The sequence below is a fragment of the Homo sapiens genome, chromosome 11, assembly GCF_000001405.40.
Source record: "Homo sapiens chromosome 11, GRCh38.p14 Primary Assembly".
Classification (NCBI taxonomy): Eukaryota; Metazoa; Chordata; class Mammalia; order Primates; family Hominidae; genus Homo; species Homo sapiens.
In genome coordinates, this window is record NC_000011.10 from 65854234 (window position 1) to 65878169 (window position 23936).

General features: G+C 58.2%; 3 protein-coding genes across 12 annotated transcripts, besides 15 other annotated features; 1 reads left to right on the forward strand and 2 right to left on the reverse strand.

The window, feature by feature from the left end:
* Positions 1-439: 439 nt before the first annotated feature.
* CFL1 (cofilin 1) lies at positions 440-3947 on the reverse strand. Its single transcript, NM_005507.3, has 4 exons — positions 3864-3947; positions 1702-2009; positions 1421-1497; positions 440-1215 (listed from the first exon to the last, which is right to left on the reverse strand). The coding sequence occupies exons 1-4, from the start codon at positions 3864-3866 to the stop codon at positions 1103-1105; spliced, it is 501 nt and encodes a 166-aa protein (NP_005498.1). The 5' UTR covers positions 3867-3947; the 3' UTR covers positions 440-1102.
* Positions 3513-3912: a silencer, noted in NCBI's record as "silent region_3559". NCBI's record gives its function as "represses an Ori minimal core promoter by ATAC-STARR-seq in GM12878 lymphoblastoid cells {active_cell/tissue: GM12878}" and the evidence as "EXISTENCE:reporter gene assay evidence [ECO:0000049][PMID:35858748]".
* Positions 3513-4059: a biological region, named in NCBI's record as "H3K27ac hESC enhancer GRCh37_chr11:65625223-65625763".
* Positions 3519-4059: an enhancer, noted in NCBI's record as "H3K27ac hESC enhancer chr11:65625223-65625763 (GRCh37/hg19 assembly coordinates)". NCBI's record gives its function as "activates a minimal SCP1, AML or CMV promoter by ChIP-STARR-seq in primed H9 embryonic stem cells {active_cell/tissue: H9 hESC(primed)}" and the evidence as "EXISTENCE:reporter gene assay evidence [ECO:0000049][PMID:30033119]".
* Positions 3993-4042: an enhancer, noted in NCBI's record as "active region_5012". NCBI's record gives its function as "activates an Ori minimal core promoter by ATAC-STARR-seq in GM12878 lymphoblastoid cells {active_cell/tissue: GM12878}" and the evidence as "EXISTENCE:reporter gene assay evidence [ECO:0000049][PMID:35858748]".
* Positions 4433-4502: an enhancer, noted in NCBI's record as "active region_5013". NCBI's record gives its function as "activates an Ori minimal core promoter by ATAC-STARR-seq in GM12878 lymphoblastoid cells {active_cell/tissue: GM12878}" and the evidence as "EXISTENCE:reporter gene assay evidence [ECO:0000049][PMID:35858748]".
* Positions 5063-5152: an enhancer, noted in NCBI's record as "active region_5014". NCBI's record gives its function as "activates an Ori minimal core promoter by ATAC-STARR-seq in GM12878 lymphoblastoid cells {active_cell/tissue: GM12878}" and the evidence as "EXISTENCE:reporter gene assay evidence [ECO:0000049][PMID:35858748]".
* Positions 5323-5402: a silencer, noted in NCBI's record as "silent region_3560". NCBI's record gives its function as "represses an Ori minimal core promoter by ATAC-STARR-seq in GM12878 lymphoblastoid cells {active_cell/tissue: GM12878}" and the evidence as "EXISTENCE:reporter gene assay evidence [ECO:0000049][PMID:35858748]".
* MUS81 (MUS81 structure-specific endonuclease subunit) lies at positions 5441-13420 on the forward strand. 9 transcript variants are annotated; one of them, XM_011545269.2, is made up of 18 exons: positions 5441-5551; positions 5992-6099; positions 6442-6655; positions 6740-6869; positions 7117-7202; positions 7714-7812; positions 7978-8046; positions 8211-8296; positions 8832-8972; positions 9177-9269; positions 9367-9488; positions 9568-9668; positions 10264-10380; positions 10487-10582; positions 10784-10912; positions 10987-11090; positions 11578-11661; positions 11753-12206. In XM_011545269.2, exons 3-18 carry the CDS (start codon positions 6521-6523, stop codon positions 11817-11819), a joined length of 1659 nt encoding a protein of 552 aa, XP_011543571.1. In that variant the 5' UTR covers positions 5441-5551; positions 5992-6099; positions 6442-6520; the 3' UTR covers positions 11820-12206. The 9 variants fall into 9 exon arrangements, 8 of the variants coding, with proteins under 8 accessions (XP_011543571.1, XP_011543572.1, XP_047283591.1 ...); XM_011545270.2 differs by having other exon boundaries at positions 9571-9668; NR_146598.2 differs by lacking the exons at positions 5441-5551; positions 5992-6099; positions 11753-12206 and adding an exon at positions 13024-13420 and having other exon boundaries at positions 6200-6655; positions 9571-9668; positions 10882-10912.
* Positions 5673-5722: an enhancer, noted in NCBI's record as "active region_5015". NCBI's record gives its function as "activates an Ori minimal core promoter by ATAC-STARR-seq in GM12878 lymphoblastoid cells {active_cell/tissue: GM12878}" and the evidence as "EXISTENCE:reporter gene assay evidence [ECO:0000049][PMID:35858748]".
* Positions 5853-5942: an enhancer, noted in NCBI's record as "active region_5016". NCBI's record gives its function as "activates an Ori minimal core promoter by ATAC-STARR-seq in GM12878 lymphoblastoid cells {active_cell/tissue: GM12878}" and the evidence as "EXISTENCE:reporter gene assay evidence [ECO:0000049][PMID:35858748]".
* Positions 6223-6762: an enhancer, noted in NCBI's record as "NANOG-H3K27ac-H3K4me1 hESC enhancer chr11:65627927-65628466 (GRCh37/hg19 assembly coordinates)". NCBI's record gives its function as "activates a minimal SCP1, AML or CMV promoter by ChIP-STARR-seq in naive H9 embryonic stem cells {active_cell/tissue: H9 hESC(naive)}" and the evidence as "EXISTENCE:reporter gene assay evidence [ECO:0000049][PMID:30033119]".
* Positions 6453-6612: a silencer, noted in NCBI's record as "silent region_3561". NCBI's record gives its function as "represses an Ori minimal core promoter by ATAC-STARR-seq in GM12878 lymphoblastoid cells {active_cell/tissue: GM12878}" and the evidence as "EXISTENCE:reporter gene assay evidence [ECO:0000049][PMID:35858748]".
* Positions 6783-6872: a silencer, noted in NCBI's record as "silent region_3562". NCBI's record gives its function as "represses an Ori minimal core promoter by ATAC-STARR-seq in GM12878 lymphoblastoid cells {active_cell/tissue: GM12878}" and the evidence as "EXISTENCE:reporter gene assay evidence [ECO:0000049][PMID:35858748]".
* Positions 7455-7968: an enhancer, noted in NCBI's record as "H3K4me1 hESC enhancer chr11:65629159-65629672 (GRCh37/hg19 assembly coordinates)". NCBI's record gives its function as "activates a minimal SCP1, AML or CMV promoter by ChIP-STARR-seq in primed H9 embryonic stem cells {active_cell/tissue: H9 hESC(primed)}" and the evidence as "EXISTENCE:reporter gene assay evidence [ECO:0000049][PMID:30033119]".
* Positions 11121-11622: an enhancer, noted in NCBI's record as "H3K4me1 hESC enhancer chr11:65632825-65633326 (GRCh37/hg19 assembly coordinates)". NCBI's record gives its function as "activates a minimal SCP1, AML or CMV promoter by ChIP-STARR-seq in naive H9 embryonic stem cells {active_cell/tissue: H9 hESC(naive)}" and the evidence as "EXISTENCE:reporter gene assay evidence [ECO:0000049][PMID:30033119]".
* On the reverse strand, positions 12208-18567 carry EFEMP2 (EGF containing fibulin extracellular matrix protein 2). 2 transcript variants are annotated; one of them, NR_037718.2, is made up of 12 exons: positions 18450-18567; positions 18011-18128; positions 17737-17785; positions 16924-17130; positions 16303-16425; positions 15888-16004; positions 15624-15743; positions 14277-14396; positions 14062-14188; positions 13628-13823; positions 12612-12846; positions 12208-12479 (listed from the first exon to the last, which is right to left on the reverse strand). NR_037718.2 is itself a non-coding variant. In NM_016938.5 (11 exons), the coding sequence occupies exons 2-11, from the start codon at positions 18119-18121 to the stop codon at positions 12685-12687; spliced, it is 1332 nt and encodes a 443-aa protein (NP_058634.4). In that variant the 5' UTR covers positions 18122-18128; positions 18450-18567; the 3' UTR covers positions 12208-12684. The 2 variants fall into 2 exon arrangements, 1 of the variants encoding a protein (NP_058634.4); NM_016938.5 differs by having other exon boundaries at positions 12208-12846.
* Positions 19570-19629: a silencer, noted in NCBI's record as "silent region_3563". NCBI's record gives its function as "represses an Ori minimal core promoter by ATAC-STARR-seq in GM12878 lymphoblastoid cells {active_cell/tissue: GM12878}" and the evidence as "EXISTENCE:reporter gene assay evidence [ECO:0000049][PMID:35858748]".

The following is a 23936-nucleotide window of genomic DNA, read 5'->3' on the forward strand; positions in this document are numbered from 1 at the left end:
CTTTTGGTTAAACACAGGGAGGCAGTGCTCAAGACACCGGGGTCTGAAGTCCCGGGCTCCACCTGGCTGGCCCCACCCTGAATGCACTCCAGCCACATCTAGAGGAGGTCAAAGGCTCAACTTGGCCTGACTCACAGCAGCCACTGAACCTGACCCTCATAAACTTGAGTCAGCCATCCAGGGAAGACAGCAGACCAAACAGAACCTTTGAGCTACCTCTGACTTGCCTATCAGCCCACACCTAGAAAGGGACAGAACAGAATATCAGATGGACCTCACTGTCCATCCAGGCAAGGCTACAGAGCACCCAGTTCAGGCATAAATCACTTCCGCTGGAAGACCCCTGTAGCCAGCACCCACTCCTTAAACAGCCAGTCCAGTGTCAATCACAGCACCAACAGAATAATGGTGACCATCAGAAAGGCGTCTCAGCCAGTCATTGGAGCCAGATAAGGGTGTGCAGGGGCTGGTTGGGTGTGGAGTACAGAGGAGAGAGATAGCACCATTATCCCAGTGCACCCCCAATCCTGAAGTCTCCTGTGTCCCAACCTTGAAAAACACATCCCATTAATGAGCCTTTTTATTATTGTCTTTTTTTTTTTTAATCGAAGGTCCCTTACTGGTCCTGCTTCCATGAGTAGCCGTGACCAGGGGAAAAGGGAGAGGAACCAGCCGGCACAGGGAGGGGTCATCTCCACAACATTCCATTTATACACAGAACTAAACAGACAAGCACAGAGTCACTATTGCGGTTAGAAGTTGGCAGCATGGGAAGGGGGAGGACCAGGTGGGGAATGGGGATGTTGTTAAAAAAAATACAGGCTCCCCCACAACTGGGGTGCCTGGGGGGAACTTGGTCTGCTTCAGCCCAAGAGGAATCAAAAGATCAAAAGCAGTTTGGGAAGGCCAGAACCGTCAAGGGATGGAGGGAGAAGGAAAATCCAGGGGGTGGGGGGTCTGTTTGGCAACTGGGGTGAAGGGATTGCCCTCCCCCTGCTGGGATCCCCCCAGCCCCTCCGGTCTGGCAGGAAGGGGGCAGCCTGCAACCCCCAAGGGCAGGTGTGGGGCTGCCAGATGCTCCAGGCAGGGGGCCAGAAGGGGCTCACAAAGGCTTGCCCTCCAGGGAGATGACGGCACTGCCCCCCAGCTTCTCTGCCAGGGTGCAGCGGTCCTTGACCTCCTCGTAGCAGTTTGCTTGCAATTCATGCTTGATCCCTATAAAGAAGAAAGGGGAGCATCTGTGAGCAGGAAGCACTGGGGTGGGGGTAGTTTCTGTGGCTGGGAAGGAGCCAATCAAAGCAGATGGAAGGAACAAGCAGGCAGCGAAGACAAGGGGGCAGACCCCCTCTGCGTGCCATTCACCCTGCCCTGCAGCCAAGGCCAGAGCAGAAGGGCACTCAGCACCAATGCTGGCCCTTACCTGTCAGCTTCTTCTTGATGGCGTCCTTGGAGCTGGCATAAATCATTTTGCTCTTAAGGGGCGCAGACTCGGGGGCCCTGGACAGAAACACGCGTCAGGCAACTCCCAGCAACAGCAAAGCCACAGGTGACTTTGAGAAACCCTTGGGCTGGCAGTGAGGAGTCTTTTGTTACAACCCCCTCCCCCTCCAAACCCACACATCTGGGTTGACCAGGAGCCACAGAAGTTCCCATCATGAGAAAGGGGGCAGGTGACAGGAAGAAGTGCCAGAATGAGCTCACCAGAAGATAAACACCAGATCCTCCTTCTTGCTCTCCTTGGTCTCATAGGTTGCATCATAGAGGGCATAGCGGCAGTCCTTATCTGGCAGCATCTTGACAAAGGTGGCGTAGGGGTCGTCGACAGTCTGGCCCACATCGCCCACCAGGATCTCCTTGCCCTCCTCCAGGATGATGTTCTTCTTGTCCTCACTCAGGCAGAAGAGCACCGCCTTCTTGCGCTTCTTCACCTCCTCTGGCGTTGAAGACTTACGCACCTTCATGTCGTTGAACACCTTGATGACACCATCAGAGACAGCCACACCGGAGGCCTAGGAGACATGCCACGTATACGTCAAGAAAAGGATTCTAGGGAACTGCCCCTTGTTTTTTCAGAAGATCTCAGTCCACGTCCCGAGTGGTCACTAGTGCCCTTCCCAAGGCAAGTCACTAGTTTTCCCACCCAAGTCACTGTCAAAGAACCAGATGGGACACAACCTCAGAATGGCAGCCATGGCCTCTGATCACCTAGTTCAACAACCCCTTCCCTCATTTTACAGGATAGAAATGCAAAACTCGTGAAAAGCAGAACCTTGACCAAAATGTGAACCCAGAATTAAAAGATCCACCGGCTACTGACTCATTTGCTACTCACAGTACTTGCTCTCAGCCTTTGGATAAAACTGGTGATTTAGAACTTCGGATATGGAGGACCCAAACACCTGAGCCAAGACTCCTCTTCAGAAAGAGCCAAGACCCCACAATGCTAGATGGGACCCCAAGGACACCGAACAGTTACAACAAACCCACCAGAACTGCTTAATACAGTTACTACACAAACGACCCCTGTTCCCAGCTAGGCTCTTTCCCAACCAAGACAAGAATTGCAACCCCCATTAAGGACCCTGCCCGACAACTCCCTTCTTCCGGGAATGGTGCTAGGCCCCAGAAGTCGCTGATAAAAATTAACATGCCAAACTCAAGTGCCCAGAGGCCTCGAGGTCTTTAAACTCTTCCTACTCTGCGTCGTGCTTCGGGGTGCCCGAGCCAGGAGAGGGAGGGGCAATCCAAGGTAAATCTGGTCCCCCAAACTCCCCGGAACTGCAGAAGAAGCCGGCCACGTGACTCGGCCGCATCCGGAGTGGGCGGGGACAGGAGATCGGCTGGGCCCGGCCCCCTCACCAATGCAGAAACGCGTATCCGAGAGGCAGCAGCATCTCCAGGTCCCTAACCCTGTGGAATCGCCCTAAAACAACGGGTGTATCAGACCCATCTCCTGCAGGCAGGAGCCTGGGCAAGCTACATAACCTTCGGTTTTCTCAGCCCTCGGGCCGTATACAGGGGGCGGGGTGGTTTCCGGGCGGTGCCCGCCTGGGTCACTTCCCTAAACTCGGCTCCACCCTCACTCAGGCCCATCCGGGAAGGCCTCGCTGGCCCAGGGCTTCGGCACCGGCGGCCGGGCCTGAGCGTGCGCGCACGCGCCGACAGACAGCGCCGTTCCAGCCCTCGCCCGATGCACGGGTGAGAACGCAGCTCGTTAGATGCGCTCCCGAACGGGCCGCGGTCTCTGCGATGCCCCCTCCAAGCCTTGCGGTGCAAGGCCTTAATCGCAGGCACCCACGCCCCAACCGGGACCCCGTCTTCCCAGCATCACCCCTCGCCGCGCCAGCACCCGCCCCTCCCGGGCGCAGGCATCCCTGCCACCTGCTCCCGAGACGGACCCGGCTGCCGAGGGAGGGTGACGCGCAGACAGGAACAGCCTTGGGTGGGGCGCGCGCGCCGAGACCTCTCGCGCGCTTTTTCCTCGCCGCCCCCGGGCCGGGTTTGGACGCCGCATGCTCCAGTCGAGAGCGCGCCCCTAAGAAGAAAGGCGCGACGCCGGCCGTTCCGCGAGGGGCGCCCCAGCGCGCGCCCCGAACCCCTCCCCCCGCGGCCGGTGTCCGCGCGGGCGCACCAGCGGGTGGGGGAGGGGAGCCCAGGCGGAGCGCGAGCGACGTCCAGACCGGCCCTCCCCGGCGCCCACGGGCGCGCACGCGCATTCCGGCACCGCCCGCCCCTTCGTGCGAGACCCTCATCCCGCCCGGGGCGCTGGGGGAGGGGGTGCGGACGTCGCTCCCCAGTCGCTTCCCGCGCGCAGGCGACCGACCCGCAGCCGCCTCCCTCAGGCGCCGTGGCCTGCCGCTCACCATGTTTCCGGAAACGAAAAGGAGAGGGCACCGAGAGCCGCAGAAGACGAGAGCGCTGCAGCCGCTGCCGGGACCCGACTGAACGCGGCCTCTCCCGGCCCCTTCCGTTTAGTAGGAGCCGCACAATGAGGGGTGGGGCGGGCTTCCGGCGCTCCCACCGCGAGCCGACGGGAAATGGAGTCCGCTGGCCCTGCGCCGCCGCCTCGCTCGCTGGGTAACGGAGTCTTCCCGCCGGCCGGCTCCGAGCTGCAGTGCATGTAGGGAAATGTAGGCCCAGGTCCTGGGCGGCACCGCAGCGCGCAGCGCGAGCCCATTGGTCCAATTTCCCAGGAACCGCTCTGAGCCCGGCGAGGCGGCGCTCAGTAAAATGACCCGAAAACGATCCCCGACTAAGCGGCTCTTTATCCCACAGCAAAACGGCTTTCTTAAGACCCATCTGGTATTATCTGGATCCCTTGGCCTGAAATTTTTGAGTGAGGTTAGGGTTTTGCATTTCTGAATCGAAGCAACTATTGATTAGCCTGGAATCCCGACCTAAAGCAAAGGAAATCACAAGTATGAAGGCGTCGTCAGTCGGATAAACACTAGTACTCTGCATGTGTAAAGCCACTCTCGTCTCCTGAAAAAAGGCCATGTCCAACGTCAGTAAAACAAGAATAGGAGGAAAAGGCACAGGGGAAAGGTACAAGGAAATCTCTGAGAGCTTTGTTCTTGTTTAAAGATGTTTGGCAAAGTCATGAGGCGTTAAAGGGTAAAGACGAGGGTTTGTGCATTCAATTCAAGGCTTCTTTACATGCCTTTACGTGCCAATGAGAAGAAATAGATATTAAACCAGACTTGAACCCAGCTCTCGAGTTGATAGCCAGGTACATGGTTATTCTAACATCCGCAAAACTGAGACAAGTTCTGTGGTAGTATATGCCTTAAAAAAAAAAAGAAACGAGCGGGGGACTCCGGGATGATTTTGTTGTTCTAGAACAGTGACCACAGCCTCACACTCTGCAGGAAAAGACTGGGTCGCAAACAAGTCAGAGGCAAACCCAGAAAGGGAACTGGGGGCCCTAATCCTATAAACGGAATTAAGGGTGTAAACGGAGAGCGATGCCTGGGAGTGGGGTACCTTGCAGAGCATACCGGGGGTTGTAGTCGGGGACATTCCACAGCACCGCCCCCGCCCGGACTCCCGGCGCTCCAGGTGGAGACAGCAGCTTGACCCCGCCTCCCGCGAGCGACCCTACATGAATATGAGGCTAGCGCCCCCTTTTCTGAGCCTTAGAGTTTCCAAGAGCAACGGGGAGAGAGAGGGGGGCTTCGCAGTTACCCTGGAGACGCGCTCTCGCCCGCCCCCAGCCGCGGGATGCCCTAGATGTCCTTATTAGGACAAGAGACTCGAGGGGGCGGGGCCAGCCCGACAGCCGGCTTGAGGCTCCTTATAAGGCCGCGGCGGGCGGGAGGCGGGAGCCGGAGCCCATTGGTCCAATTTAGCTTGGCTGGGGCTACTGCGCCGTGGGCTAGGCACAGTCCTGAGGGGCGGGACTGGAGCTCTGGCGCCCACCTCTCCCTTCCTCGCAGGCTGGAGACCTGCGTGTTGCGACTTCCGGCATAGCAGCTAGAGGCCGGGTGCTGCTTCAAACCCTGGCGGGTCGCCTGTGTCCAACTCAGCTATACGTGTCTTTCAGGCTTCTCAGGTTGAAGCCCTTTGTAGGGTTTCCATCTTCAACCTCCCTGAGGGTCTCCCACTTCCGATTAGCCACAAAAATGACGAAGTGTTCTCCCCTCTACCTGTGTCTGGGCTTCTTAACCCGCAGCCTGCTCCTCCGCTCCCAAACCCAACCGCGTGCCCATCTCAGGCCTCCCCAACTGCCAGGATGCCCAAGCACCTCTTACTTACAGTCCTCCTTCCTCTAGGCCTCTGACCCCCGACATTCCGAGTTCTATTTTGGGCCTTCTCGGCACGTCCCCGACTTCCTCTCCACCACACACTCTTTGCCCTGTATCCCGGGGATGAGGATCACCATTTCCTCCAAGGGTCCTGCAGCTCCTCCTGCCTTACCTTTGTGTCCTCATCCCCGGCACCCATTTCTGGGTGTCCCTCCCACCAATACGTTTGCACCCGTTTGTCTCCTAGCCCCCGCCTCTCCTGGACTCTTTTCAAGACCAGTCTCCATCTCCAGCCTCCTTCAAGCTTGAGGCTGAAGCTGACAATCTTAAGAGACCTTAGAGCCGCCAAGCTCAGGTTAGTCCGTTAAGCGCCGCCCAGCCAGTCCTCCCCGTCACAGGGGGCGCTGTCCGCCTTCCTCTCGCCTACACAAAGACCCCGCTCTCGAATCTGGGGTGACAGGAAGGAGCCGGTCCAGGCTCCGGGGGCTGGGAAAGGGCGCGTCTCAAAGGCTGGCTGGAGTGGAGCCAAGGGAAAAGATCGTTAGAGACAGCGCCCCTGACCAACCACTTAGAGCAGCGCAGGGGTGGGAGGGCGGCCGCAGGCTCTCCTCTCGTTAGTGCCCCCTGTGTTTGGGGCCCCGTGATCTCAACGGTCCTGCCCTCGGTCTCCCTCTTCCCCCGCCCCGCCCTGGGCCAGGTGTTCGAATCCCGACTCCAGAACTGGCGGCGTCCCAGTCCCGCGGGCGTGGAGCGCCGGAGGACCCGCCCTCGGGCTCATGGCGGCCCCGGTCCGCCTGGGCCGGAAGCGCCCGCTGCCTGCCTGTCCCAACCCGCTCTTCGTTCGCTGGCTGACCGAGTGGCGGGACGAGGCGACCCGCAGCAGGCGCCGCACGCGCTTCGTATTTCAGAAGGTGGGTCCTGGCGTGGCCCGATGGGAAAAGCTGCTGGCCAGGTCAGGCCTGCCCTGACCAGGTACCCTACCCCTGCCCGGCCAGGCGCTGCGTTCCCTCCGACGGTACCCACTGCCGCTGCGCAGCGGGAAGGAAGCTAAGATCCTACAGCACTTCGGAGACGGGCTCTGCCGGATGCTGGACGAGCGGCTGCAGCGGCACCGAACATCGGGCGGTGAGCGCCTCGGAAAGGGGTCGGTGATCCCCCACCTCCCCCAGGTGGAGCCTCCGTACTCTCCTGGGAGCCCTTGGCTTTTAAGCTCCCCACTCCTGTCCCAGTTGCCGTTCGGCCTAGGGCTAGTGGCTGGCGCTCCCTGAGCCTCCCTCACCGGTCTCACGTAACCATCTGAGTAGGTTGCATCCCAGATCCTCGCAGCTGCCGGATTCGTGGAGTGTGGAGTTAACTCTTTTCTCTCCCGCAGGTGACCATGCCCCGGACTCACCATCTGGAGAGAACAGTCCAGCCCCGCAGGGGCGACTTGCGGAAGTCCAGGACTCTTCCATGCCAGTGAGGAAGGGGCAAGGGGAGTGGAAGGCAAAGTGGGAGTGCGGGAGTATGATTTTCTGGCTTGGGGGATTTGGCAAGCCTGAGTCCAAATCTCACCAGTGATGCCTGGCCTTGAGCAAATGACTTATCCTCTTTTCGACTTAGTATTTTAACCTGTGAATAGAAATATTGGTAACAGCCAATGAGAGAATTCCATGATCAAGCTACTTAAGGATCCCAGCTCAGTTAGTTACGGGGTCACCATTATTGAGTTTTCCTGTCTAATTACACCTGTCCTGCAGCGCATGGTAGAAGTGAGGCCAGGCTGGGCAGACACCCCCACCCACTGCCCCGAAACTGCCTGCTGTTTTATCCCAGATTTGCAGCGGATCATCCCATCACCTGGCCCATTTTACAGAGAAGGAAACTGAGAGACAACTGAGTGACTTACCCAGGGCCACAAAGCCTGCTGGGGACTTATTCAAAGATGACTGGCTGGCTTTCATGTTCAGAACTCCTCTGTACCTTTCAGGTTCCTGCCCAGCCCAAAGCGGGAGGCTCTGGCAGCTACTGGCCAGCTCGGCACTCAGGAGCCCGAGTGATACTGCTGGTGCTCTACCGGGAGCACCTGGTGAGCACTGGGCTACACCGGGAGGCGGAACCATGGCAGTGGGGTGGGAGGTTCCCCGAGGGGCCTGGCCCAGGCAGGGCAGGCAAAGATTATCCCAGCCACCTGAGCGGGATGAGGAGGGGCCCTGGCACTGAGCCTACCCTGTCTTTTCTACCTTGGTTTCAGAATCCTAATGGTCACCACTTCTTAACCAAGGAGGAGCTGCTGCAGAGGTGTGCTCAGAAGTCCCCCAGGGTGAGCACAGGGATCAGGGAGGACAGGCCCAAGTGGCTCTGGGGCCCACCAAAGACTGCCTTTTCTTGCAGTGGGCCCATGTGTGGCCCATGGCTGGGGACACAGGGAACATGGACTTGTGGTGGTACCAGGTGCTCTCTGAGGGTCTCTTTTCTGATCCACAGGTAGCCCCTGGGAGTGCTCGACCCTGGCCAGCCCTCCGCTCCCTCCTTCACAGGAACCTGGTCCTCAGGACACACCAGCCAGCCAGGTGGGGCCAACTGCAGGAGATACAGGAGAGCATGAGTGAACTTCTTAGTAGGGCCTTAGAGTCACCCAACAACTCCCAGAGCTGATGCTGTTGAGATTGGGGGGGGTGGGCCTTTCCTCAGGAGCCCCCACTGTTGGAATACCTGGAGGGTGTGAAACCGCAGCAGCGGGGGTGGGAGGGTGCGGTGGTTATTGGAGGAGGAGAAAGCCTTTTCAGAGGAGATAGCATTTGACACGTTTTAGGATTTGGCGGGTAGAGATGCAGGATAAGTATTCCGAGGAGGAGGAAACAGCATTAGTGAAGACAGGAGGAAGGAAATTGTCTGAGACACACTTCTTGCAGACCTGAGAATGGCGCTGAGCAGGCCCAAGGAACTGCTCTAAGAGCCAAGAAGACCAGGAGGAGCAGGAGCCACTGGGGTCATTTGTGCAGGGCGCCAAGGGGGTGGTGAGGCCAGCCCAGCTGGGGGCAGGCAGGAAAGCCTGCCAGGAATGAGTGAAGAAGGTAGAGCTGTGTTGTCCCCTCTGCCTCCCAGGTACTCATTGACCCCAGAGGGCCTGGAGCTGGCCCAGAAGTTGGCCGAGTCAGAAGGCCTGAGCTTGCTGAATGTGGGCATCGGGCCCAAGGAGCCCCCTGGGGAGGAGACAGCAGTGCCAGGAGCAGCTTCAGCAGAGCTGTGAGGAGGAGGGCAGAGGAGTGGGGAAAACAGGGAGGAGGGGATGGGAAATGAGGCCAAAGCCCCGCCCCAACCCATCACCTGCAGCTGAACTGTGGCTGCCTCCCTACTGTGGGTGGGTGGTGGGTGTCGGGTGGCATGGGTGTGGGGCAACTGCCCTGGCACAAGGGGTTCTGGCCTCACATACCAACACCCCCCACTTAGTGCCAGTGAAGCAGGGGTCCAGCAGCAGCCACTGGAGCTGAGGCCTGGAGAGTACAGGGTGCTGTTGTGTGTGGACATTGGCGAGACCCGGGGGTGAGTGAGGTGGGGAGAAACGAGGGAGATGATCAGAGGAGGCTGGGGGGTAGGCACTGCCCTGCTCTGATCTAGGCTTCCCTCCTTGCCACTCCAGGGGCGGGCACAGGCCGGAGCTGCTCCGAGAGCTACAGCGGCTGCACGTGACCCACACGGTGCGCAAGCTGCACGTTGGAGATTTTGTGTGGGTGGCCCAGGAGACCAATCCTAGAGACCCAGGTGAAGGGCCGTGGACAGGCTGGCACCAGGGGCAGGGCCTGGTGGGTAGGGGATCGCAAGCTAACGGCTGGCTTGTCAGCAGCAAACCCTGGGGAGTTGGTACTGGATCACATTGTGGAGCGCAAGCGACTGGATGACCTTTGCAGCAGCATCATCGACGGCCGCTTCCGGGAGCAGAAGGTAATTTTGCTGGCTTTGCCAGGCTTCCCTGCCTGCTCCGAAGCCCCGTTTTCAGCCCAGAGCAATCCAGGGGCACTTCTGGCAGCCTCCTTGAGGCAGAGCCCTTTGGAATCCAGCCACACCCACCCTGTGGCTGCTCCAGGATCAGACCCCCACAGGCCCATCCAGGCGCACAGTAGGAAGCCAGGTACCTGCATTCTTGGGCTGAGGTCAGGAGCATTTTAAAGACCTCTTGGGTACCCAGCCCCTGCAGTCTTGGATAAACAAGGCATAAACCTCCAGGAGTGGAAATACAGAGGCTGTACCTTGGTACTTGCTGCTGGGTGGACCCCTAGTCACAGAGGCCATGTGCCGGCCCAGGGGAGGCTTGAAGGATGGGCAGTGTTGAGAGATGGAGAAAAGGCTTTCTAGACAAGAGTGTCAGCATGAGCAAAGCTGCGGAGGCCCCTGTGAGGCAGGTGGAGAGGCTAGGGAGGATGCAGAGGCTAACTGGTGGGAACAGGGTCCCGGCACCATTTTGAGTGTGACATCATGGATGCCCAGGCATGTGGTCATCCAGCCTGACCCTCCCTGTCCACTCTGTACACTTCCCTAGTTCCGGCTGAAGCGCTGTGGTCTGGAGCGCCGGGTATACCTGGTGGAAGAGCATGGTTCCGTCCACAACCTCAGCCTTCCTGAGAGCACACTGCTGCAGGCTGTCACCAACACTCAGGTGAGCTGGGAGGGCAGGGCCAGGCAGGCAGGCAGGGGCCCCTGTGGTCCATGGTTCATGGTCTAGGCCAGGAGCCACCTTCCCTCTCTTGGGTCCTCTTCCCCAGGTCATTGATGGCTTTTTTGTGAAGCGCACAGCAGACATTAAGGAGTCAGCCGCCTACCTGGCCCTCTTGACGCGGGGCCTGCAGAGACTCTACCAGGTGAGCAGAGGCCCCTTTCCCAGTGTCGGGACAGAGCCCACAAGGAATTCACCTTGCCTGGGCCCTGTGCATCCCCAAAAGAAGCAAGGTGGGTGAGATCCCCATTTCTCAGGCTGGCCCCCCAAGGCTGAGGACTGGGCAGGGGCTGGCTGGAGTTGTTCCTTCGAGCTCCAGCCTGGCCTCAGTCCCTTCTTCCCTCAGGGCCACACCCTACGCAGCCGCCCCTGGGGAACCCCTGGGAACCCTGAATCAGGGGCCATGACCTCTCCAAACCCTCTCTGCTCACTCCTCACCTTCAGTGACTTCAACGCAGGAGCCATCAAGAATAAGGTACTGTCTCTGCCTAGCTTCTCAGACATGGCCTGGCCCAGACCCCCACTGATCCAGCCCTTTCCCGAACCCAGGCCCAGTCGGTGCGAGAAGTGTTTGCCCGGCAGCTGATGCAGGTGCGCGGAGTGAGTGGGGAGAAGGCAGCAGCCCTGGTGGATCGATACAGCACCCCTGCCAGGTAGGCCCTAAAGGGCCCTTAGGTGTCCTCAGCCCCTGCCCTCCATGCATGGAATTCACCTTAATCCATGCTTCGTGGAGGGGGCCTGGCCTTGTGTGGGCTCTGCAGACCAGAGATAGACAGATCCCAGGGTGCTCGTGGAGGTCAAGTGGGGAGGAAGCCAGCAGGCCCACATAGTGTCCCAGGTAGTGGAGGCCACAGGAGGGAGGGAGACGTCCCACCTGGTGGAGAAGAGGCTTCCTGGAGAAGGGGTTGGGCCATTAAGGGGAGTGAGGGTGAAGGTTTGGAGCCTTTGCTGGTTTTGCCCCAGAGTTCCCACAGGGAGGGAGGACAGCCCGGCTGGCATGGGGCCTTGAGTGCCAAGCTCAGGAAGTGGGGCAGTGTCCCAACTCTTCCATCCCATGCTGACCCCTCTGCCTGGCCCCTCATGGTGCTGGCCCAGAGTGGGCCACTGTCAGCCTCAGAAACTCAAACCCCTGCCCCCCAGCCTCCTGGCCGCCTATGATGCCTGTGCCACCCCCAAGGAACAAGAGACACTGCTGAGCACCATTAAGTGTGGGCGTCTACAGAGGTGAGGGCAAGAGACGGAACCTGGAGGGAGTGGCAGGGACTGGGGCTGCCCTAGGCCCAGGGCGTGACCCTCGCTGCCTCTCTTCCTGCAGGAATCTGGGGCCTGCTCTGAGCAGGACCTTATCCCAGCTCTACTGCAGCTACGGCCCCTTGACCTGAGCTTATGCCGTGAAACAGCCCCCAGCCCCCGTCTGTCCCCCAACCCAGGCTAGCCAGCCTTTTAACAACATCTTTTGGGGTACAATTAGAATCTAAGTGTTTGCAGCCATATGTGTCATGTAGAAGATGCCTAGCCCTGGGGACCTTGTGAAATACGCAGGAACCAGGGATACCATCTGGTCCAGTGGTTTTTAAACAAAGCTGCTTAGCACCTGGAATTCCCTGGTCAGGGAGATGGAGTCAGTGGGGCATTGCAGCTTGGAATCTATTTTATGTCACCAGTTGGTCCTCATCAAATAAAATTTCCTTAGGAGTGCAGAGGGCTCATTGGGAAAATAAAAATAATAAAAATAAATAAAACTTCCTAAAAGAAAAGATTGAAAACCACTAACAGTCCAGTTGCCTCGTTTTATAGAAAAACAGGCCCAGGGAACTACTAGGGCTTATCCAAATGTACAGTTTGAGGCAGAGTTAGGAATGGAACCCAGGGCCTCCTGGCGCTGTCCAGAGTGGAGTTTCTTAGGACCCCTGCAAGCCAGCCAAGTCCAAATCTCTGGGCCGGGGCCTGGAGTCCGCCCTCCTCGTTACCTCCTCTCCTCTCGGGGTGACTGAAGCTCGTGGTGCAGAGCTCCCAGCTCCTGTCAATGGGGGCCCCTGGGCCTGAACATATAGAGACCCCCATTTAGGTGAACTTGGCCTGCCCCCCCAAGTGCCACCCTGCCCCAGCCTGAGGCTTCCTGCAGTGTGACCCGCCCACCTCAGCCACCAGGACTTTCTTTCTCCCTTTATTGCCTTTCTCATTCTGCCCCTCACAACAGGCTCCTCAGCTAGGGTAGCTGCAGGGAGGGTGGCTCCCTCCTGCTCCTCAGAAGGTGTAGGCCCCTACAAAGACGGTGAGCCTCAGTACAGAGCTGGCCCGGTAGCTCATGAGGGAATTCATGGTGACCATCTCCAGGTCCAGCACGTACTCCCGGGGGCCCGTCACCGGCCGGGCGAGGACCAGCATGGCGCTGACGTTGTTGATTTGCTGCAGGGCAGTGGGTGGGGGGACATATATATTGTGTCAGCCTGTGTGCTAGGCCCCTGCCCCAGCGTCACCTCCCTGCCCCGTGGCCGTGAGGCAGAGGAACAGCCCTGGCCAGGCTGCCACCCCAGCCTCTCATGCAGCTCTTTGACACCCTCGATGTCTCTCCTCCCCACCCAGGCTCCTGCCCTCAGAAATCTCCTGCTGGGGCTCTTCTCACCCTCTCCAGCCTGCTCTGTCTGACCCAGGCTAACTGACGATTCAAGGCCACATGTGGCTCTTGGGACTGGTGGGACCTTTGGTGACCCAAAGTGAGCAGACTCCCTTCAGAGCATTCAATTTCAAAAAGAAAGAGAAGGGCTGGTACTAGACAAACCCCTTCTCCTGCTGAGACCCATGCATGCGGCTGCCAGTCACTGTGAGCAGCTCACTGTGAGCCGCCCCTGGCCCCCTCCCACCTAACAGATCCACTAGCAAGGAGTGGACTTTCTGACCCCAGGGCCCTGCACACGCCATTCCCTTGGTTTGTGGGTGAAGAAACTGAGATCAATATGGAAAACCAGTACCAGGACTCAAACTCCCGTGTCCGAGTGCTTCGTTAGAATTGCATTTAACCGTTAGAATTGCATTTAGAGTACCCCCGTCTTCCTGCAGAAACCCCGCCTCCGGGGGCGGGGCTTTGGGGGAGGGGTGGGGCATAGCAGCCTGGCCGAGTTCCCCCTTAAGGCGTCCTGGAGTTCAGTTTTAGATTGTGCATGTCAGTTGAGGGTTGCAGAAACCTTACCCTAATGTAAAAGTCCCCCTGCGAGTTTCCAGCACGGATCTGAAAGGCATTGTAGGCACCGGGGTAGACGGAGGTCGCCTGGATCTGGAACACGTCAGCGGGCACGCTCCGCTCCGAGGTGATGGTCATGTAGCGGTGCACAATGGATGAAGGCTGCTCTCGACATAGAGGGTTGGAGGCCGGGCAGAGACAGCGGCTAGAGACCCCGAGGTGGGGGACACAAATGAGCTCCTTGCCCGTCCCCCCAATTTCTCCTACCCTACAAAGGGAGGGAATCCCAAAAGGACCCTTCTACCCCTGTGACTGGTTTTCATGAAGGACTATGATTCCCATCATCCCTCAGGGGCACTCGCTGGTCTGAATAGATGCCAGTCAGCCCCAAAGCCCCCTGGGAGACGTAGTTTCTGTGGGGGCCTGGCATCGAATTGACTCACTTCTCAGAGACCTGGATGTAGGGCTCCACGCAGCGGTTGGTGTCCACGCAGCGGTAGCCCCCATGGAAGTTGACACAGGTTTGGGCCTCGGAGCACTGGTGCGCACCAGACTCACACTCATCAATGTCTGTGCCAGGGGAGAGGGGCTGGAATCGGGGGCGTCAGGCTGCCAGCTCCTGACACCGTCCTGCCCATCCCACCCGGGCAACCTGTACCTTGGCAGAGGCGTGTGGCCAGCAGCTGGTAACCCTGTGGGCAGTGGCAGGAGAAACGGCCTGGCTCGTTGATGCAGCGGTACTGACAGAGGTAGCTGGAGTAGCTACACTCATCAATATCTGAGGAAGCATGGGGATGGGGACCCCGGGTCAAGGGCATTCCTCACCATTCAGTCCCACAAACATTTCCCAAGAAGGCCCAGCCCCATGTTAGACTGAATGTAGGAAGACAGAGGGGGATGAGACAAGCCACAAGTTCAGCCGGGAGATGGAGGGTTCAAAGAAAGTTTGCCCAGGCTGCCGCAGCTCACAGACTTCTCTCTGCCCAGAACTGGAAGAAACACTAAATAAGTTACTGGGAATCTAGAGGCTTGGGTGTGAATCCCACCAGCTGATCTAGGGGAATCTCATTTTCCCAATCAGTAAAATGAGTGTGTTAGACTAGATGAGTCTTATGGGTCTGGCTTGTGCTGTAACGCCCAATTCCTGCAACCCACAGTCAACCTGAGCACCCAGTGGTCACCTCCAACTAACTGTGAGCTTCACAGGCAGAACATTTCCTTTCTCTTGTTCCCCTCATGCTGCCAGGTAGCAGTGAGGCCTCATCCCGCAGCAAAGCATAACATAGGGGGTACATGCCAGTTTACAGGGTGTAAGAAGTCTGGGATCCAGCCCTGGCCCCATCTCATCCTGGCTGTATGAGCTTGGGCGGGTCACTTAACCTCTCTTAGCTGAATCATGAAAGTCACCATTTACCCAGGACTTTGTGATTATTTTTATGTAATCCTCCCAACAAACGTGGAGGGAGATATGAATGTCCTCATTTTGTAGAGGAAGGAGAAAATCATACCTCCTAGGATTCTTGAGAGGAAGGAGGCCAAGTGTGTCAGGGAATACACTACGAGGGCAGGTTCTCATTAAGTGGCAGTTCATTCACTTTAAAGCACTGCAGCTTGAGACTTGCTGGAGCCCATCTATCACACTCTCACCTAATCCTCAAGACAACCCATTTTATAGAAGAAGAAACAGGCTCAGAGAGGAGTGACTTGTCCTAGTGCAAAATTCAAATGCAGGTAAATGCAGGTGAGCCTGATATGTGGGACAGGTGGCACCCACATCCTCAGTCTCACCAGTAGGCTTCAGTAAGGACGTAGCTGCCTCTCCTTGTGCCTCCCCCACTAGCCTGGGAGTGCTCCACAGCCAGCCGGGGTCGAGTACCCAGGAGGCAGCTGGGTGCACAGTGACAGGAGGCGGAGGCCTCAAATGGAGAACTGTGTGGCAGGAGGCACGGCATAGCTAGGGCCTGGGGGTCCACAGAGGAGTACACAGCAGGGATGGAGCTCTCACCACTGCAGGAGAAGCCATCCCGATGCAGCTCATAGCCCTGGTGGCAGCGACACAGGAAGGTCCCATAGGAGTTGAAGCAGCGCTGCTCGCATGGGGCCCCCATGTCACACTCGTTCACATCTGGGGGTGCCAGGAAAAACAGGAGGGATGAAAGCGGAGGAGGAGCCCAGAGCCTCCACTCTACCTGGGCTGGTCAAGAAGGGAGCGCCCCCACCTCACACCTCCCTGCCCAGGACCCAGGAGCCTGGCCCAGCCCAGCCTCACCAACACAGGAGCGGTTGTTAGGCCCCAGCTGGAAGCCCGGCTCGCACTGGCAGCGGAAGGAGCCAGGCAGGTTCACGCAGCGGTGCTGGCAGTAGCGGTAGCGGCACTCGTCTATGTCTAGGGATAGAGGCAGGAGAAGGAGGGCGGAGGGCAGAGGGCAGAGGGCAGGTGGGCTCGAGCCGGCTGGGACTCAAGGCTTCACCACCCATAATCCTGTGTCCGAGGAGCTGAATTAGGCAGGGTCAGCCAGGACACCTCCCAAACACTCCCCGCTACAGTCCTCTGTGTCTGATGACGGAGGGTGAGGTGGCAGGGGCCGGGGGTGAAGCCTGGCTTGAATGGGGGTCAGGTGCTAGGGCAAGGGCCAGACCAGGGACACAAAGCCGGGACTACAGAAGCTGCTTCCTGGACTCACCCACACACTCGGGCCCGATCTTGCGGTAACCATCAGGGCAGGTGCACTGATAGGAGCCAGGCAAGTTATGGCAGTCCTGGCTGGGGCGACAGTCGTGCAGGGCCTGGGCACACTCGTCCACATCTGCGAGAGACACCACTCAGCCCCTGCCTGGGATCCCGCACACCACCCAACATGACAGATAGTTCCAACACTTGTATTCGGTTCTCTCAACAGCACGCGTAAGAGTTCACCAGCCTGGAGCCATCAGGAAAGGCACCCCTAACCTCTAAAACCACATGTTGGGGGTTGCACAGGAAATAAGGTCCTGTCCAAACATCCCCAGCAACACTGATTCCTGGACTGTCCTTCCTCCAAGGCCTGTGGCTCCCAGGGGACAGACACTGGAAGGCAGACTTCCTGCAGTGTCTCTGCAGCAACCGAGGGGAGGGGCCCGGAGCTGGCTGGAGCAGTGGCACACAAGCTGGGGCCACCTGCGGCAGGTCCTAAACAACATGAGTGTCTGGATGAGGGTGTGGACATCACCAGTGGCCCTTTTGAGCTGGGGAGGAACATGAGGTCTGAGTTTAAGACGCCTGGTGAGAGGACTGGAAGCCAGGCACCAGAGCAGTCCCCACTCACCCACACAGCTGTCCTGATCGTCGGGCTCATAGCCTGGTGGGCAGGGGTTGGGGTGTTGAGCGGGAGGCACTGGTGGCGGGGGTCCCTCGCCGTGTAGGTCGTTGATGACGGCAGCGGAGCGGGGCAGGCACAAGTAGCCCCCGTAGTGGTTGATGCACTTCATTTCCCCCTTGCAGGCCTCAGGGATGGTCAGACACTCGTTGACATCTGCAGAGAGGGGCCTGCTGGGCACAGCCAGTCTCCTGGGCTGGCCCTGGAGGGAGCGGAGGCAGGAACCCAGCTCGGCCTTCTCTGAGATGTGTGGCCCCAGCAAAGCCTTCCCACTCTGCTCAACAAGCTAAGTCTGCCTGCTCAGGACCCCTCCCCAGGGTTGGCCAAGGCTGGAGATGGGGCAGCTGTTCCCACTGTTGCCCTCATTCTCGGCCTGCAAGTGGGTCTCTATCCCTCCCCACGGCCCTAGCCCTAGCTCAGCCCAAGATGGGGGGCCTCCTTACCCACCCCTGGGGACGCTACCCTCCCAGGTTGTGATGAGACAAAGAGCTGGGACAGGAGAGTGGTTCAGAGAAGGCGTACAGGATCCAGCTCCTCTGAGGGGTAGGGACAAGGTTTCCTGGGTTTCTGGGAGAGGATGAGGCCACCCCTAGCTCAACTGGCCTCCAGAGAGCCAGAGCTGGCCTCTGTGTAGCAGAGCTGGGCATAGAACGGGCTGCTGGGCTCCCACGGCAGTTCTTGGAGGTGGGGCTGTCCCTTGGAAAGCAGCTATCAATCCCTTTCCGGGTTCCTGGGGGTGTTTGGTCCCCCAGGCACACACACCCCGGCAGTGCTGGCTGTCTGGGTCCCACTCATAGCCATCTGTGCATTCCTGGAAGGGAACCAGAAGTGGCCAGTGGTCACCCTAAGATCTCCTCCAACTGGCCAGGCCAAGACTAGGGCCTGAGCCTGGCCACCCTCCGGCCTGCTCCAAACAATGGCCCCCAGCTCTCCACCAGCCAGGGGAGGAAGACTTCCCCGGCAGCAGTCACCCTGGGTCCCGGTCTCTTCCTCCCTACCCTTCCTGTCCCAGGCCAGCGGCCCTCACTGTCCCCACCGTGTAGCTGTCGGGCTCTTCAGAATCCTGAGGAGAAGCTGATCCCAAGAGCAACAGTAGCAGCGCCCAGAGCAGTAGAGACCCGGGTAGGCAGGAGGCGCAGGGGAGCATCCTGGGGCTGCGAGATGGTGGACACGGGTCAGGGGCCTCTGCCCGCGGCACCTCAACTCCCTGTACCGGGAGCCCGAGCCCAGCCCCCGCCACTGCCCGCTCAGGACCGTGCTTGGGCCTCGGGGCCTCCCAGGGCTGGGGGCCGACTCCTCACAGGCCCAGGTCCCAGGCCCGGGTCCCAGGCCCACCCGCCCCGGCCACCCCGCCCCCGCCCCGCGCCCCTGCGGCGAAGGCCGAGGAGCGCGGGCCTCTGTGGGCGCTACGCTGCCGCGGACTCGGCCGAGACTCCGGCCCACGCCCTCCCCCACGGACGGTCACAGCCACTCACTTGGGCCCGCGACACCCCCGCGGCCCGCGGCTCTGGCGGCTCGGCTGGCTCGGGCAATGCCTGCGGGCAGACGGACGGGCGGACGGCACAGCTCCCTGGACGCGCGGCCCCAGGAAGCGCCCCCCGCCCGCCCGCCTGCCGCGGCGCGGCCCACCCCGGCGCCTCCGCCCGCCCTTCGGCGGATTCCTGAGCCAGCGCCAGGGGGAGGGACCCCGACCCCCCGCTTCTCCGCCCCCGGCCAGCCACAGGCCCCTACCCGGTCCCCCGCGGCGCCGCCAGGAGCCGCCTCCCGGCGCCGGACCAGGGTCCCCCAGTGCTCGATCCTGGGGCCCCGACCTTGATGCCAGGCCCCCAGACTCACCCGGGGGCCCCCAGACGCTCACCAAAAATGTCATCCTGCTCACCTAGGTCCTACCTAATCTGCGCCCCCAGAATTTCATCCTGTGCACCCACACCGTAATCCTGGAGCCCCCAGATTCTCATTGTGCGCCTCCCGAGATCGTCCTGGGTACCTAGAGCCCACCTAACCCAGTCCTCCAGACCCTCAATCTGCTCCCTGCAAAATTTTATTCTCTGCCCCAGACCGTCATTGTAAAAGATCCTAAAACTTCATCCAGGGTCCCCAGACCCTCGCCCAGGAACGAGAGGCTCCCAGGAGCAGAACTGTCCTTCTCGCTCCCTCCTGCCCTCCACCCCCAGGACCGTCTTCAGCCGGGTGGTCCTTTCACTACACACGGCCTCCCCCACACCCTCCATCCACAAAGCTACAAGTTTGGGGGCGAGGGCGGCAGTTCCCTTTTGGCACAAAATGAATGGAAGCCCCTGAGAAGGAGGGCAGGGCTGATGTCGGACGTGCGGGATGCCAGAGTCGGGTGCCAAGGCGCCTCCTCGACCTCCTCGCACCAGCGTCCCCCGCCCGGTTTCCGCCTCCGCCCGAAGTGGGGGCGTGTCCTTGGGGCGGAGTATGGGCGGGGCTGGCTCCCAGGAAGGGCGTGGCCTCTGTTTGCCCACGTCTTTGGGCGGGGCCAGGCGGGAAAGCACTGCGTGTCCGGGGATCCCCCGCCTGGGGCCCGCCCTTCCTTTCCCCTTGCCATCCCTGCTTATCCCCGCAGTCGCCCTCCACGTGACCCCGGGGAGGGAGTCTGCCGAGGAGGGGACGTGCTGGTGGGTCCCGCGGCGAGCGCCTGGGGCTCAGGTGAACTGCGCAGTGCCCGCTCCTCGCCACTCTGCCACCACCATCCCTCCCAGCTGCTGGGGCAGAAGGTTAAATAATAGCTCTTTAGGGGCCGGACGCGGTGGCTCAAGCCTGTAATCCCAGCACTTTGAGAGGCCGAGGCAGGTGGATCACCTGAGGTCAGGAGTTCGAGACCAGTCTGGACAACATGGTGAAACCCCGTCTCTACTAAAAATATAAAAATTAGCCAGGCGTGGTGGCGCGTGCCTGTAGTCGCAGCTACTCAGGAGCCTGAGGCAGGAGAATCACCTGAACTCGGGAGGTGGAGGTTGCAGAGAGCCCAGATCACACTGCTGCACTCCATGGGTGACAGAGGGAGACTCCATCTTAAAATAATAATAATAATAATAGGCCCGACGCGGTGGCTCACGCCTGTAACCCCAACACTTTGGGAGGCCAAGGTGGGCAGATCACAAGGTCAGGAGTTCAAGACCAGCCTGGCCAACATGGTGAAACCCTGTCTTTACAAAAACACAAAGAAATTAGCTGGTGTAGTGGCACGTGCCTCTAATCCCAGCTACTCGGGAGTCTGAGGCAGAATAATCTCTTAAACCCGGGAGGCAGTTGTTGCAATGAGCCGAGATTGTGCCATTGCACTCCAGCCTGGGCGACAGAGCGAGACTCCATCTCAAAAATAGTAATAATAATAATAGCTCTTTAAAACGAGAAAGACAGTAACAAGTGTTGGCAAAGATACGGAGAAACTGGAGCCCTCATGCACTGTTGGTGGACAATGGTCTGGCAGTTCCTCAAAATGTTATCACATGACCTGACAATTTCACTCCTAGGTATACATACCTAGGATAATTGAAAAGATATGTACACACACACAAATCTGTACGCAGCGTTTATAGCTGCACTATATATAAGAGCCAAATGCAGAAACAACACAAAAGCCGTCAACTGATGAATAACAAGATGCAGTACATCCACACAGTCGAACATTATTCAGCCATAAAAACTAATGAAGTACTGATGCATGCCACAATATAGGTGAATTCTTTTTTTTTTTTTTTTTTTTAATTGAGACGGAGTCTTGCTCTGTCGCCCAGGCTGGAGTGCAGTGGCGCCATCTCGGCTCACTGCCAGCTCCGCTTCCTGGGTTCACGCCATTCTCCTGCCTCAGCCTCCTGAGTAGCTGGGACTACAGGCACCCGCCACCAGGCCCGGCTAATTTTTTGTATTTTTAGTAGAGATGGGGTTTCACCGTGTTAGCCAGGATGGTCTCAATCTCCTGACCTTGTGATCCGCCTACCTTGGCCTCCCAAAGTGCTGGGATTACAGGCGTGAGCCACCGCGCCCGGCCAATATAGGTGAATTCTTGAAACTACTATGTGAAGTGAAAGAAGCCAGACACAAAAAGCCACATATTCCATTTATTTTTTATTTTTTTTAGATGGAGTTTCGCTCTTGTTGCCCAGGCTGGAGTGCAATGGCATGATCTCAGCTCACCACAATCTCTGCCTCCTGGGTTCAAGCAATTCTCCTACCTCAGGCTCCGGAATGGCTGGGATTACAGGTGCCTGCCACCACACCTGGCTAATTTTGTATTTTTAGCCGAGATGGGGTTTCACCATATTGGTCAGGCTGGTCTCGAACTCCCGACCTCAGGTGATCCACCCACCCTGGCCTCCCAAAGTGCTTGGATTACAGGCGTGAGCCACCGTGCCTGGCCCACGTATTCCATTTATATGAAATAACCAGAATAGGCAAACCCAGAAAAACAGAAAGTAGATTAATGGTTGCCAGAGGAAGGTGGGGAATGGGGAGTGTCTGCTAATGGGGTCTGGGTTTTCTTTGGGATAATGAAAATATTCTAACACTAGATAGTAGTGATGGTCACACAACTATGCAAACATACAAAAACCCACTGAATTGTACACTTCAAAAAAGTGAATTTTCTTTGGGAGGCCGAGGCGGGTGGATCATGAGGTTAGGAGATCAAGACCATCCTGGCTAAGACAGTGAAACCCCATCTCTACTAAACAAATTAGCCTGGCGTGGTGGCAGGCGCCTGTAGTCCCAGCTAATCGGGAGGCTGAGGCTGGAGAACGGCGTGAACCTGGGAGGTGGAGCTTGCAGTGAGCCGAGATCGCGCCACTGCACTCCAGCCTGGACGACAAAGTGAGACTCTGTCTCAAAAAAAAAAATGTGAGTTTTATAGTATGTAATAATACCACAATAGGCCAGGCACGGTGGCTCACGCCCGTAATCCCAGCACTTTAGGAGGCCAAGGTGGGTGGATCACCTAAGGTCAGGAATTCCAGACCAACTTGGCCAACATGACAAAACCCCATCTCTACTAAAAACACAAAAATTAGCGGGCTATGGGGGCGAACGCCTGTAGTCCCAGCTACTCAGGAGGCTGAGGCAGGAGAATCACTTGAACCGGAGAGGTGGAGTTTGCAGTAAGCCAAGATCGTGCCACTGCACTCCAGCCTGGGCAACAGAGCAAGACTCTGTCTCAAAAAAAGGAAATATAAAAAAAGGCAGGAAAGGGGTGCTGCTATCACCCCATTTCACAGATAGGGAGGCTGAGAGACTTGTCCCAGGTGAAGGATGGGACTTGCACTCATGTCCCACGGACTTCAAGACTCGCTGGGCTCCTTGCCCCATATTAGAGCATTAAGGACCCGCCCTGCAAACACCCACTCTGTGCCAGCCACAGTGGTGGGTGCTCCACTAAGTATCTTCCACTCAAGCCTCAGCCTGAGAATTGTCATTGCCAATTAGAGATGAAGACATGAGGCCCAGGGGGGATGACTTAGTGCACAGCTGGTGCACAACCTAGACCTGAACCTCCATCTTTGCACTATCCAGCCCGAGTGAGCCTTCCACTTGGAGTTGCCTCCTCAGAATGCCTCCCTCGTCCTCTGCACCCCCAGTGACTTTCCCTGCCTTCGCCTGCTCTGCACTGGGTCCCTTTCAAGGTCCCAGACACCACTGGATCAGTGTCTCCCTCCTACCAAGCAGGGAGCTCCTCTCAGGCAGTGAGGCCCCTGTGCCCATGGCCCAGCCCTTACTGGGTACCAGCTGGGATCTGCAGAGTAGGCAGTTGAATGAACAAATGAGTGAGTGGGTGGAGGAAGTTCATTGATTCACTCAACAAATGTTTTCTCGGCCGGGTGCAGTGGCTCACGCCTGTAATCCCAGCACTTTGGGAGGCCAAGGCAGGTGGATTGCTTGAGGTCAGGAGTTTGAGACCAGCCTGACCAACATGGTGAAACCCTGTCTCTACTAAAAATACAAAAAGATTACCCCAGCATGGTGGTGCACACCTGTAGCCCTAGTTACTTGGGAGGCTGAGGCAGGAGAATTGCTGGAACCCGGGAGGCAGAGGTTGCGGTGAGCCGAGATCGTGACACTGCACTCCAGGCTGGGCGACAGAGTGAGACTCTGTCTCAAAAAAACAAAGCAAAACAAAACAAACAATGTTTACTGAGTGGCCACTGTGAAGCAGATGCTGTGGTGCTAGCCAGGGACACAGCACTGACCAAAAACAGACCCAAACCTCCTGGCCTCAGGAGCTCTAGTTCAAGGGAAGGGAGGAGAGGATCAAAGGGAAGGCCACTGGGCCCCACACCTCCAGTTCCTTTTCCCCGTGGCCTCCCACATCCCCTACCATCACAAGAGGCCCACACTGGGACCTCCACCTCTGAGGGCTGACATGGAGCCTTAACTATCAGTCACACACAGGACAAGACTGGCTGGGGCCCATAACTGGGCTCTAGAACCACAGGGCCAGGCACCACTCTGGGGATGGTCTGTCCACTGCATTTCAATAAAGGCAGCAGCATGCTTTTCAGATAGAGAAGCCCCTTGGTTTACTCTCTGGGCAGGGTGACAAAGTGTGGCCTCACGACTCTGGGAGGAATCCTAATAAAGAAACATGGTAGGCCGGGCGTGGTGGCTCACGCCTGTAATCCCAGCACTTTGGGAGGCCGAGGCGAGCGGATCACGAGGTCAAGAGATCAAGACCATCCTGGCTAACATGGTGAAACCCTGTCTCTACTAAAAAATACAAAAAATTAGCCGGGCGTGGTGGCGGGTGCCTGTAGTCCCAGCTACTCGGGAGGCCGAGGCAGGAGAATGGCGTGAACCCAGGAGGTGGAGGTTCCAGTGAGCCGAGATCGCACCACTGCACTCCAGCCTGGGCGACAGAGCGAGACTCCGTCTCAAAAAAACAAACAAAAAAAAGAAACGCAGTAGTGAGCATGTAAGTGAATAAATCCCAGGATTATAGCTGTCCTGTC